General features: G+C 45.6%; 1 protein-coding gene and 1 pseudogene across 1 annotated transcript in view, besides 1 other annotated feature; both read left to right on the forward strand.

Annotated features, from left to right (window-relative positions):
- The window catches only part of SLC60A1 (solute carrier family 60 member 1), a 33,905-nt gene extending 23,849 nt beyond the window's left edge, over positions 1 to 10,056 (forward strand). The window contains exons 8-10 of the mRNA NM_181644.5: positions 4,918 to 4,988; positions 6,269 to 6,389; positions 7,544 to 10,056. Of these exons, the coding sequence (NP_857595.3) occupies positions 4,918 to 4,988; positions 6,269 to 6,389; positions 7,544 to 7,599 (248 nt within the window). The 3' untranslated portion in view covers positions 7,600 to 10,056. The remainder of the gene's footprint in view (positions 1 to 4,917; positions 4,989 to 6,268; positions 6,390 to 7,543) is intronic.
- On the forward strand, positions 2,179 to 2,285 carry RNU6-418P (RNA, U6 small nuclear 418, pseudogene; annotated as a pseudogene).
- Positions 7,103 to 8,302: an enhancer, noted in NCBI's record as "CDK7 strongly-dependent group 2 enhancer chr1:205569093-205570292 (GRCh37/hg19 assembly coordinates)". NCBI's record gives its function as "activates an origin of replication core promoter dependent on BRD2, BRD4, P300/CBP, MED14 and CDK7 cofactors, with strong dependence on CDK7, by STARR-seq in HCT116 cells {active_cell/tissue: HCT116}" and the evidence as "EXISTENCE:reporter gene assay evidence [ECO:0000049][PMID:35650434]".

Here is a 13,795-nt window from a genome sequence, read left to right on the forward strand (position 1 = left end):
AAGCAAAGATGCACAGGAGAAGTTATGGCATAGGAAAGGCATTTTGTAAGCTAATTTTCAGTAACAGTACGTGCCTGCCTTGTGGCTGTGGTGGATGTTAGAAACGTGGAGGATTAGAACACAGATCTGGTTTCAGGAGTCACACAGCCTCTTTGATGTCAGAAATCTCTAATTCTCTCGACTAATCTCCCTCCCCTTTCCCTAGCCTCCCGAGTGCCTATAGCAAAGATCTCTTTTTTAATGAGTTAATTAAAAATAATTATATTTTGAACATCACCAGAGACGCACTAGAGGCTGGAAAACCAGCATTAAGATAAGCGATTTCTGGCCGCGCGGGGTGGCTCACGCCTGTAATCCCAGCACTTTGGGAGGCCAAGGCAGGCGGATCACGAGGTCAGGAGATCGAGACCATCCTAGCTAACACGCTGAAACCCCGTCTCTACTAAAAATACAAAAAAATTAGCCAGGCGTGGTGGCAGGCACCTGTAGTCCCAGCTACTCGGGAGGCTGAGGCAGGAGAATGGCGTGAACCCAGGAGGTGGAGCTTGCAGTGAGCACTCCAGCCTGGGCGACAGGGCGAGACTCTGTCTCAAAAAAAAAAAAAAAAAAAAGATGAGCGATTTCTTTAGAGAGGAGTGGGGGAAGTTGGTGTACAGGGAGAGTCAGGGCAGTTAGAGCTTCACCCAGCAGTTATCCACAGCCTGGATCCTTGAAATTGAAGGATAAGCCCCAGACAATTTTAGCACATAACATCACCATCAGTCGTTAGGAATAAAATCTTTTCTACGATAAACCTGCACACTTTTTGTTTTGTTTTCAAAATGGAATTTTTTTTATTATATAAGTCGTATGTGCTCACTGCAAAAACCTCAAACAATAGAAGCACAGTTTAAAGCAGTAAGTGAAAGTAGCTGAAAATAACCCTCTTAGCAGTTCATTTCCTCCCAGATCCCTTCTGAGCTTGTGAGACCATTCTCTGCGCTGTTTAATATTTGCAGTTTAGAAGACAATTCCTGTGAGAGAATGAATTAGAGAATCAAGTGTATCTGAGTTTCTTTGGCTTCTGGCTCCTCTGAGTGGGGGCACTACACATCATCTGAGAAACACCCCCAAATCAGGGCACACTTGGTATAAATTCCATTGAATCATGACTCTGAAGAGATCCTGGCCACGGTGAAAACTGAGGGCAGAAAATGCATCAGCCAGTCATCATCCAGGCAGCCCATCCCTCACCCATCTTTCTGCTACTCAGGACATCATGCTGGGCCCCACGGGACATGGCCAAGGAAACACAGTCTCTCCCTGCAGCTTGTCCTAACAACAGGACAGCCACGCACCCAGCTCCCATGGGCGAGGGCCCAGGAGCCCTCAGACTCCTCCCTCACGCATCAGTCTCCAAGCCTCAAGGGAATAAATGAAGTAATGAAATAAGGTAGCTATCACATGTCACACAGTACAACTCGAGAGTTTTAAGTGATCAACACATGTTAGAGTTTAATAATGATAAGTGAGGCTGGGTGCAGTGGCTCACGCCTGTAATCCCAGCACTTTGGGAGGCTGAGGCGGGTGGATCACTTGAAGTCAGGAATTTGGGACCAGCCTGGCCAACACAGTGAAACCCCAGCTCTACTAAAAGTACAAAAATTAGCTAGGCGTGGTGGCAGGCACCTGTAATCCCAGCTACTTGGGAGGCTGAGGCAGGAGAATTGCTTGAACCCAGGAGGTGGAGGTTGCAGCGAGCTGAGATTGCACTCCAGCCTGGGTGACAGAGCAAGACTCTGTCTCAAAAAAAAAAAAAAAAAGTGATATTGATTGATTCTGCCTGCAAATGATCACTCAAATCCATCATCTTCATTTCTTACTGTCCCTGCCTAATTTAAGGTCTTTATCTTCATTGACCTGCTTGGACTAGTTAATGGTACCCAGGTTTTTCCAAGTTCTAATCACCTCCATCCCTTCTTTGATGGGTCTTGGCTTGTCTCCTTGTCTTCAGTCTTGCCTCCATCTAACCCAGCTGGCTGAACATTAAAATCACCTGGAGTTCTGGTACCAAAACCCAGTGATTGGGCCTTACCTCTGAGTCTGATGCAACTGGTCCGGAGCTGCTGGGTGATTCTAATGTGCACCTAGAGGTGAGGACCATGTACTAAGCCACCCTCCACATGGTAAAACAGGGCTGTGCTTACTTCAGCAGCACATGTACTATAATTGGACCAACACAGAGATGATGAGCATGGCCCCTGTCCAAGGATGACATGCAAATGTGTGAAGTGTTCCCCCAAAAAAACCAGAAAACAGAGCTGATCACAACCTCCAGATCTACCTATGGGGCATCTTTCTCTCCAGACTTCTCTCTCCCTGCTTCCCCTGCAAACCTGCATCCTAGCCACGAATTACATGCTATTCCCTGATGGCACAAAAACTGTTCTGTACCTCCCTACTTTGGCACGTGGTGAACCCTCTGCCTGGAACATCCTCCCTGCTCCATCTCGCCCCTTTATCTTCCTGCTCTTCCTTCCAGACCTAACTCCAGGAAGTGTCCCTCTCCAGGAAGCTCCTCTGATCCCCACTGGAAAGGTGTGCCTCCCCTTTGTGCCCTTTGACGTTGCCCCTGTCTCTCATGTTTGACCCATCTCAAGACTTTTGTACCTAGGTTATCTGCTTCTCCTAGACAACATGACCCTACCAAGGGACAAGGGTAAGAGCACGGGCTGTGCAGGCAATAGCACACCTGGCAGTCCTGCCTCCAGAGTTACTGGCTTTATGACCTTGTGCAGTTTCACTTCCTTCCCCTCTCTGAGCCTCAATTTTCTCATCTGTAAAATGGGGATGCAAATACCTGCCTTTTAGGATTGTTTTGTGCATCAGAAAAAATGTAAAGCTTTTGACTTAGCATCAAAGCTGACTCACAGGCACTCAGTGTCTTGTTAACTCTTAGTATTCACCTGAGCATCCTCAGTGGTTAGCATAGAACCCAGTGGTCCTCAGTTTTTTAAACAAATGAGTGGAACAGACAGATGGGTGCTGCTGGAATTCAGGGAAGGGAGTGAGGGGGCAGTGTTGATTTAAATAAAAGTAGCTTCATAGAGGGGATGGGATGTGAGCTGGACCAGAATCTAGAAAAGCAGAGAGGAAAATGGAAAGGCCTTCCTGGGTAGGGTGGGGCAGTGAACAGAATGAGAGCAAAGGCACAGAGACAAGTCTGAACATAAGTGAGACTGAACGAGCTAGAAGGAATGTGAAGTCCAGAGTAGACAATGATGACAACCATTTTATTAAAAAAAAATAGTGTCTACTATGTGTTAGCTGCTGTGCTACTAACAGGCACTGGTTTTTGCCAGTGATCTATAAGACAAGGCATGGCCATCCTCTCCTGGGCTTCCAGCCTAGTGGGGAGGGCTAGCTGGTCAACAGACAGTGTGGTGAGAGCAGGTGCAGAGTGATATCACAGCACAGAGAAGCAACCCATCCAGGCATGGGGACCAGAGAGGAACATTACTGATGGAAGTCTAAACTAGGACCTAAAAGATCAATGGGAACCAGCTGGCCAACATGGTGGAACCCCATCTCTACTAAAAATACAAAAATTAGCCAGGTGTGGTGGGGCATGCCTATAATCCCAGCTTCTTGGGAGGCTGAGGCACTGTACTCCAGCCTGGGCGACAGAGCAAGACTCTGTCTCAAAAAAAAAAAAAAAAAAAAAAAAAAAAAAAAAAGATGAATGATAGTTTACCAGAAAAGAGGAGGAGGATGAATGTTCAGTGGGGAGTGAAGATGTGTGCTGAAGCCTGGAGGTGAGAGTTACGGAGGGTGGAGGGGGAGAGAGAAGCCTGAGCCATTAGCAGGGGCAGAGTCTAAAGGGCTCTGCAAACCACTTGAAAGTCCTTGGCCTTCATCCTGAAGGCAGTGCTGAGGGGCTTGCGCAGAGAGTTGGGCTGGTTTTGAGTTTACTGTGTGCCAGTCCTATGCCAGGCTCTTGGCATGTCTTACATCAGAGTTACCCACACGGTAAGTCTGTGAAGGAGGTGTGATGCTCATCTTACAGAGAAGGCAACCAAGGCCTAGAGAGGTTAGAGAACTTGTCTAAGGTCACATGGCCAGTAGGTGACAACCTGGGCTTGGAACCCAAGTCTGACTCTGAAGCTTGGGCTCTGAAGGTGTGCACCACACTGCCAGACTCATCAGGGCGTGTGGCTGGTCAGTGCAATGCCAGGACAGCGAAGACACTAGTCTGCCTGCACCAGAGGGCTAGCCTCAGGATATCAGGAAATCTTTCTGGAAAGGTAGGTAGCAGTCAGAATGGGAATGGCGCTGAATGCCAGGGCTAAGCAAGATGGGATTTACCCTGAGATATTGATGAGCAATTAAAGGTTTCAGAACAAGGAAAGGACAAAATGACAGTAAGACCTAGGCATTCCCAAAGCAAAGTTACAGGCTCATGTCTGAGAAATCCAAAGTAGTCCTTTCTGCCAGGCCATCTTCCAGAGGTTTCCCAGAAGCAACCTAGGTTGTTTTTTTTTTTTTTTTTTTTTTTTTTTCGTTTTTTGACAGGGTCTCACTCTGTCACCCAGGCTGGAGTGCAGTGGTGCGATCATGGCTCACTGCAGCCTCCAATTCATGGGCTCGAGGGACCCTCCTACCTTAGCCTCCCAAGTAGCTGGGACTACAGGTGCACACCACCATGCCCAGTTAATTTTTTTAAATTTTACTTTTTGTAGAGACCAAGTCTTGTGATATTGCCCAGACTGGTCTTGAACTCCTGGCCTCAAGAGATCCTCCCACTTCTGACTCCTAAAGTACTGGGATGTGCCTTCCGAAATGCATATGCCACTGTGCCTGGCCAGCAACCTGGATTGTAATGCTGGCTTCTGTCTCCTTAACTTGCTTTTACCAAACCAAACCTTCTCTTTTTGTTAGGCTGTGCAACCACAGTGCTGGTGACAGGGGCAGGAGTTGGCGAGATGGTGCTGCAGATGCTGGTTGGTTCGGTATGTGGGGACCTGTAAGGGAGAGGGGAGCATTTGGGGAGCACTCCTCTGACAGGTGAGAAGATGCAGATAGCCACCTTCTGAACTCAAACTGTCCCTTTCCTGAGTCTCCAGCAAAGCCAGCAGGGCCCCCTGTGCCGTTGTTACCTGTTTCCGTTTCCAAGCCAGCCCTGAGAGCTGAGCCTCCATATGTGGGATCTGGAGATGTAAACGGATGCATGGAAAAGTCCAAAGCAAACACAAGCCATGTCTGGGAGCAGGGCCAGAGGGGGCCCGTGGGAATGCTGTTTAGCTCTCAGAGCCTGAGATGGGTTGGAACTGCAGTCAGAGTTCTTTTTCCATCCCTTCGGAACCCACCACTCCCTACCCCACCTCTCACAGCCTCTGGCCACCCTGCAGAGGGCCCAGCTTCCTGCTCAACTCCTGCCCTGACCGAGAGGGCCAACTCTTCCAGTTCTATTCAAATCCACCCATGTTTCATTTATTCACCAGGAAAAAAAAAAAAACAACCTAACATCTACTTTTTATTGAATACTATAATGTAGATATTATTCCCCTTTTTACAACAGAGGACACGGAAACTCAGATGAATTTAGCAACTTACCCTAGGTCAGTCACACTTCCAGAAACTGACAGAGAGGACCTCACATCTAGATCTTCCGGCCTCCAAAATCTCCCTCATTGTGACTCCATTCTCCTTTCCTCCTCTTTTGCCCTGCTGGAGGGAGGGGAAGAGCTGCATCTCACCATACCCTCCTCATTGAAATGATGTGACATCTGGGACTTGCTTTAGTGTAACCTAGTGCAGAAAAGAAGTGCAAGGCCACCAATGAAACCGGTGCTGACTGCTAAAGTTGAGTGTTGGGTTCATTGGAGCTCCATATACTACTTTAACATGTTTTAAATTCTCATAATAAAAGAGTAAAACAATATATCCTCTGCAAAGTTCTGGTTAGGGCTTATGGGTATAGAAACACCTAGTATGACTGGAGCTTCAGTGATGATAGAGATCGTCAGAAGGTTCCAGAACACAGAGCTGCAAGGGACTGCAGGGGGTCACCAGGTCCAGTCCCTGCCTTAGAGCAGGACTTCGGCCTTCTCCAGACACATCAACTTGAAACAAGGCCAAGGCCTCCCTCCTCCCCGTGATTCCATCTCTTGGTGTGACGGGCCTCAACTTAGCTGAAAAACCAGCCAAGGATGGAGAAGGCTGCTTCCTCCGATACACCTTCCACGTGAAGTTTTAATTGTCTGTCTCTCTGTGTTTTCCCCTTTGGCAGATATTCCAGGCTCAGGGCAGCTATAGTTTCCTGGTCTGTGGCGTGATCTTTGGTTGTCTGGCTTTTACCTTCTATATCTTGCTCCTGTTTTTCCACAGGATGCACCCTGGACTCCCATCAGGTAAGGAAAGTATCTGTTTCTACACAAGAGGAGGAAAACAGAGCCGGGGTCGGGGAGCGGGGGAGCAGGAGATGCTATGGATCTTAACGTGCCAGAAACGCTGCTCTGTTCCAAGTAAAATGCAAGGAAATGTTTATTTTTCTACAGCTTCCTTTTCCTCTCTTCCTGCTTTCCATACGATTGTCTGCGCTGGACTCTTAAGATAGGCGAGAGCTGGGTCGGCTGACTCATGGTTTCTCCATTAGCAGAGGGGTATGGATTGTGAACTTGGCTTCCTGCATCCCACCATGTCATGGGACCATGAGCCAAGAATCTCTTTCCAGCCTGTTCAGGGAACTGAAAGGCAGAGCCCGACTCCTTGGCTGGAACTCAGCCCAACGGCCTAATTGGCCATCTCTTTGCAGTTCAGGATTTTGATTCTAGTCCAAATCTTTTTTTCAAAAAGAAGTCCTTCAGGCCAAGTAGCAAAGAAAGTCTCCTTCAGGGCACAGACACCTCCTAAGAATAGTCTCCCTTCTAGAGACCCCAGGCAGGGGGAGTCCCAAAGCAATTTTCATAACCCTGAGCCCTTACCTGCCCTTTTGCCCACTGCTTTCAAAGTGCCCAGGGACTGCATCGGCTGTGTGCAAAGCCAGTTCTTAAGAGAAGGTGCCCAGGCGGAGACTCTGTCCTCCCTATAAAAAGCAAAATCATCACAAAAAGACTAAAGGAACAGGCATTCACCATCCGCTCTCAGTGGGTGAACATATCTACGCTCTAAACGCTCAGTACAAAGGCCCAGAAGGAAAGGTGGCCCCCAAAACAGCACTAACTATAGCCTCACTTCTGAGACAGCAGTACTGGTTGCACACACACAGGAGTTTCATTTAAGACCTACATTCAATTAATATTTGCTGAACATTAAATGAATAACACTTAATGGGCTCCTTATTCATGGGAGACAGACACATTCCCCAAGCCCTAGACAGCAGTCTCAGGAAACTGCCTCCACCAACTGTTCGCCAGAACTAGGGGGTCTGACTTTTCACTTTGCTCCCTCTAGAGCCACAGAATGGCAGAGAAACAAACAGCCTGGGTAAGCTCTCAGAATGAATCATCACTGCAACTCATCAGAGCTGCTGAAACATGCTACCTGTTTTGTTTTTCTTTTGTAGTTCCTACCCAAGACAGATCAATTGGAATGGAAAACTCTGAGTGCTACCAGAGGTAAAACTGGGTGAAGAAGGCAAGAGAAGACTTTCAGCCTCTTGATCACCAGCACGACCATACTGTTTCAGAAAGCTGGGTGGTGGTGGAGGCGCTCTCTCAATGGCTATTCAAGTCTTCTCCACTAAAACTTGGTTGGGTAGAGGAAATTAAATTGAGTCCTGGTACCTGGTCAAAATCATTAGAAGTTTACCTGGCTTCTCAAGTTATCTTCTTCCCTGGTTCAGACTGTTGGTAAGAGCTGTCCAGATACCCAGATGGGAAGGAAGGAGACAGCCGCGCGCTTCACTCCATTTGTCACCTCATGCATGGACCATACTCTGGGTTTGAGATCATTCTTCATTGAAGTTTGTAAAAATAGGTTGAAATTGTAAAGCTCCATGATCATTGCTATATGTAGATATATTTCAATTTAAGCAAAACAAGCTGCAAGTTATTCCCTGGCATGCTCAAAGGATTTTCGTGCTTTTCACTTAATAGTCCAAAGTCTCTTAAATTCCTGCTGCAGACATCAATAGCTTATCTATATTCTCAAACACCAAAAGGAAAAGTTGAATCTTGCTCTCTTTGGTATACTAATGTAGTGGTATGCTAAGCTGGCTCATACCAACTTAGAAAAGCTGATTGTAAAATTTTCATTTTGACAGCTGGTTATTAAATGCAGCCATTATTAAAAATCAAATCATACAAACTTATAATTAAATCAATTACATTTAAAACAAAGGTAATAAATATTCAAAGCATATCACTTCCTAATTTGATCTTGATGCTCTTGAGGTAATTTACGTCCATGGTACCTGTGTGGTGGAATTACTATATATGATGGTGTGCTACTGTGCACCTTGTCTCAACTCCACTCTTCGTGATAGCATGTTGGTAGCTTGAAATCAGCCTGGTGGGAGTATTACCATGGACACTGGCAAAAGCTACAGATCCCGGAGAGCCAGTGGTTAAACATTTACCAGCATACCACTGCTAGTAATCAAGGCTAACTGGTCCAGAAATCGCCCAGGAGAATGAAATGGATGTTCCATTTTTTTCTACTGACATTGACTAGCATATAAAAGGTATAGAAACAGCACTAAGACTTTCTGAAAATACCTAATGAAAATTTTACATCTTTTTTTGTTTTTGTTTTTGTTTTTGAGACAGAGTCTCACTCTGTTGCCAGGCTGGAATGCAGTGGCGTCATCTCGGCTCACTGCAACCTCCGCCTCCCAGTTTCAAGCGATTCTCCTGCCTCAGCCTCCCAAGTAGCTGTGACTACAGGCGCATGCCATCACGCACAGCTAATTTTTTGTATTTTTAGTAGAGACGGGATTTCACCGTGTTAGCCAGGATGGTCTTGATCTCCTGACCTCATGATCTGCCCGTCTCGGCCTCCCAAAGTGCTGGGATTACAGGCGTGAGCCACTGCACCCAGCCAAAAATTTTACATCTTTTATAGAGGGAAAAAAACTCTTTATACCATGGCAAGGCCTTTTCTTTCACAAAAAGCTGGGCCTACTGAACAATTCAAGCTGTGCAGTAGTAGACTGAAAGCAGGATTTGTTGAGGAGTTACAGCTCCTGTCCAGAGCAAATCCTGTAGTGATACAAGGAGAATGTAAACTTGCCAGCTTAGACAGGGATCAGTCCTGAGACTGCTGGCAGTAGCAAATGGCTATTAGAGTAACTGTATAATGGTTTTGCCTGCACTTTCTCTATGTATATACAAATGTACATGTATAAATATAAAAATTAAGTGATCATGGTTCTTGGTAACCTGTCCCAAGTGCTGTGATTCACACGCCTGACACTAAAAGGTTCTTCCTGGTCCAGTCAGCCAGCTGTGACCACCAGCAGCACAGCTGAGTGCTGAGAATCTGGCTGGAAAGAGAAACGTGGCTCAAGTGCTGGCTCACCTTCTAGCTGTGTGGCCCTGGGCAGGTTACTGAGGCTCTTCCAACCTCACTTTTCACATGTAAAATGGCATTTCTAAAAGTACCTACCCTACCTCAAAGGAATTCTGAAAAAAGTAAGTGAATTTGTATAAAGCAAAGCACTCACAATATGCCTGACACACAAACTGCTTAATAAATGTTAGTAATTTTTAAAACCTCCTCATAAGCGGCTTAGAAATTATTCATGTTTGGTACATATTTATTGCAAGTCAAGCAGATCCAACTTTTTTGAAAGCTGGTGGTCTAGGAGTATAGTTTTAATTATATTTGTAAATACTCAAAAGTATTAGATGCCAGTCTAATTTAAATGCAGTCTGACTGTAGCGAGTAACTGACCTGGGCAATGAAAAAGCAGTTGTATTTTTCTTGTGGTTTTTCAAGAAAATATCCTTTTTATACAGATTTAGAAAGAAGAATCAATGGCTATATCGAAGTTGATTGTGACTAATTTGTTAATACAGAAAACAACATTAACACAAATCTAAGAGTACCTTTCCTAAAATAAAATATTTAAACTTATTAAGTGTGTTATCCATTATGAAGAACAATTGATCCTCTTGCATACACTCAGAAACAAATGGTCTGATGTTCCCCAGAGGCAGGTCTCTCTCATACTAATAAGTTAATGTGGCTTATATTTTAGAAGAAAGAAAACTGTCTCACAAGGGAAACTCTGAATTTTTTTAAAAAAAGATAAATAAATAAATAAATAAATAACCTCTCATAGCAGGGCTAAGTGCCACTATTCCCTATTACATAAAATCAGAATAAGGAATAAGGAAAAGGCAGGTCGATTCTTACACCACACGCTTCTCAGTTACACAAGTAGGACTTTCTTCCTCATCTTCCTTTCAGGAATTTGGACATTTCAGAATCCTGTGGAATCACCCTGTTCCCAGATTTTCCTCTGCTACTTGTATATGGAAATCTAACCCATCAGGCACATCGGATTCACTAAAAGAAGACACAGTGACATAGAGTTCTTTTAGAGTGAATTTCGTTTATTCAGTCAAAAAGGATTTGTTAAGCACCTGCTATGTTCAAGGCACTAATCTAGGTACAGACATACAGTGGTGACTGAGACAGAAGTCCCTGCCTCACAAGGATTATACCGCAGGTGAAGACATACAGACAGCAAACAAATACTACACGTAACATGCCACAGGGTGAGGGGTAATGTAGCACCATAGAGAAACATACATACAGGGAATATGGAATAGGATATGGGAATGCCACAGGGTGAGGGGTAATGTAGCACCATAAAGAAACATACAGGGAGTATGGAATGGGAATAGGGAATGTCAAGAGATGCTCTAGGGCCAGGCACAGTGGCTCACACCTGTAATCCCAACACTTTGGGAGGCTGAGGCAGGCGGATCACCTGAGATCAGGAGTTCAAGACCAGCCTGGCCAACATGGCAAAATCCTGTCTCTACTAAAAATACAAAATTTAGCTGGGCCTGGTGGTGCACACCTGTAATCTGTAATCCCAGCTACTGGGGAGGCTGAGGTGGGAGAATTGCTTGAACCTGGGAGGTGGAGGTTACAGTAAGCTGAGATTGTGCCACTGCACTCCAGCCTGGGTGACAGGGTGAGGCTCTGTCTCAAAAAAAAAAAAAAAAAAAAAAAAGATGCTCTGGAAGGCGTTTCTAAGGAGGTCCTATTTGTGTAGAAAACTAAATGATACGTGGGACCAAGCTATCCAAGTACGTGAAAACATCCCATCAGGCAGGGGGCACAGCAAGTACAAGAGCCTTAGGCTGGAATATGCTTATGGTATTGGAGGAACAGCAAGTAGGCTGGTGTGGCTCAACTGCAGTGAGGAAGAGTCAAACGGAACAAGTGGGAGTGGTTGCTAGAGGCCAGATCATACAAGCCATGGTATGTGTAGAGGTTTTTTGGAGTGATGTAAGATGACTGGAAGAGTTGTGAGCAGGCAAGCGACACGATCTGATTTACATATCTAAAGTATCACTGGTTACTATGGAAAAGAGACTATGGGGCAAGCATGGAATTGGGAAGACCACCTGGGTACCACTGCAATAGACTGAAGAAATAATGGTGGCTTGGAAATGTAGATAGCAACGGAAGTGGTGAAAGTGATTGGATTCAAGCAATATTTTGAAGGTGAAACTGACAATTTGCTGATGGATTGGGTGTAGTGTGAGAAAGATAAGAATCAAGGATGGGCCGGGAACGGTGGCTCACGCCTGTAATCCCAGCACTTTGGGAGGCCAAGGCAGATGGATCACCTGAGGTCAGGAGTTCGAGACCAGACTGGCTAACATGGCAAAACCCTGTCTCTACTAAAAATACAAAAATTAGCTGGGTGTGGTGGCAGGTGCCTGTAATCCCAACTACTCGGGAGGCTGAGGCAGGAGAATCGGTTGAACCTGGGAGGCAGAGGTTGCAGTGAAGTGAGATCACGCCACTGCACACCAGCCTGGGTGACAAGAGTGAAACTCCGTCTCAAAAAAACAAACAAAAAAGAATCAACGATGACCTGAAGGAATCTGACCTAAGTAACTGGGTACATGATGAAGCCATTTAACTCTGGAAGGCCATGGGGAGACATTCTGAGTTCTATTTTGGACATGATCATCTTATGATGCAATCTTGGATGTCAAGAAGGCTGTTAGATATAGAAGTCTAGAGTTTAAAAGAGAAGTCAAAGCTGAAGATACAAATTTTGTGGTCACATAAAGAAGTATTTAAAGTCATAGGACTAAAATGACACAAGCTAGGGAATGAATGTAGAGATGGACAGATTGAGCCCTGGGATTCTTCAACATCTAGAGTTTTAGAAAAAGAACAAGTCCCAGCAGCGCACATGAGAAAAGCCAGAGAAATAGGAAGTTCAGGAGAAAATGTGGTTTCCTGGAGGGCACATGAAGTGCATCTCAAGAAGGAGTTAAGTAATCAGTGCTGCCAAGAGGTCCAATGAACACCGAATGTCAACCACCAGATGTGGCAACATGTAAGGCAATATGACCTTGACCAAAGAAGATAGTTTTGGTTAATTATGGTGACATATTCAAAACATATGGTGGTGGCTCATGCCTGTAATCTCAGTGCTTTGGGAAGCCAAGGTGGGAGGATCATTTGAGCCCTGAAGTTTGAGGCTGCAGTGAGCCATGACTGTGCCACTGCACTTCAGACTGGGTGACAGCACGGTTGACCCCAAAACAAAACAAAAAACATGGGAACCATCCAATGGACTCCTTAACACCAATGCTTGTCAGCTGACTGGCACAGCTGTTTGAGTTTGCGCTTTTTTTTTTTTTTTTGAGACGGAGTTTCACTCTCATTGCCCAGGCTGGAGTGCAATGGCGTGATCTTGGCTCACTGCAACCTCCGCCTCCCGGGTTCAAGCGATTCTCCTGTTTCAGCCTCCCTAGTAGCTGGGATTACAGGCACGCGCCACCACACCCAGCTAATTTTGTATTTTTAGTAGAGACAGGGTTTCACCTGTTGGTCAGGCTAGTCTCTAACTCCTGACCTCCGGTGATCTACCTGCCTCAGCCTCCTAAAGTGCTGGGATTACAGGCGTGAGCCACTGCGCCCGGCCCACTCCTGTTTCATTTAATAAAATGAAGTCACTTTCATAGACTCCCTGCAGTTACAGGGGGTCGGTCGTCCAGTTAGTACAGTGTTTTGTAGCAACAATCAATGTGAAATCATCTAACTGTTAATTATTATCTCCTACCTGATAATGCCAACCCTGGAAAATTACCCAATATTAGGGTATTAGTTTGTCATTAAACGCACCTATAAAACACAGAAAGTGCTTGCAAAACAGGTAGGCTTCTCAAAATAAGTGTCAACAGTCAGAAAGGTTAGAAAACGGTGGTGACTTAAACAGGCTTTTTTTTGTTTGAGATGGAGTCTCGCTCTATCGCCCAGGCTGGAGTGCAGTGCCATGATCTCAGCTCACTGCAAGCTCCACCTCCTGGGTTCACGCCATTCTCCTGCCTCAGCCTCCCAAGCAGCTGGGACTCCAGGCGCCCGCCACCACGCCCAGCTAATTTTTTGTATTTTTAGTAGAGACGGGGTTTCACCGTGTTAGCCAGGATGGTCTCGATCTCCTGATCTCGTGATCCACCTGCCTCGGCCTCCCAAAGTGCTGGGATTACAGGCATAAGCCACCACGCCCAGCCTAAACAGGCTTTTTAACTGAAGGACTTGGCACTTTTCATATTCTGAAATTTCCTTTTGAATTTCCGTGAAGAACCCATTTCCCAAACTGATTTTACCTCGT

The sequence above is a fragment of the Homo sapiens genome, chromosome 1 (genome assembly GCF_000001405.40).
Source record: "Homo sapiens chromosome 1, GRCh38.p14 Primary Assembly".
Lineage (NCBI taxonomy): Eukaryota > Metazoa > Chordata > Mammalia > Primates > Hominidae > Homo > Homo sapiens.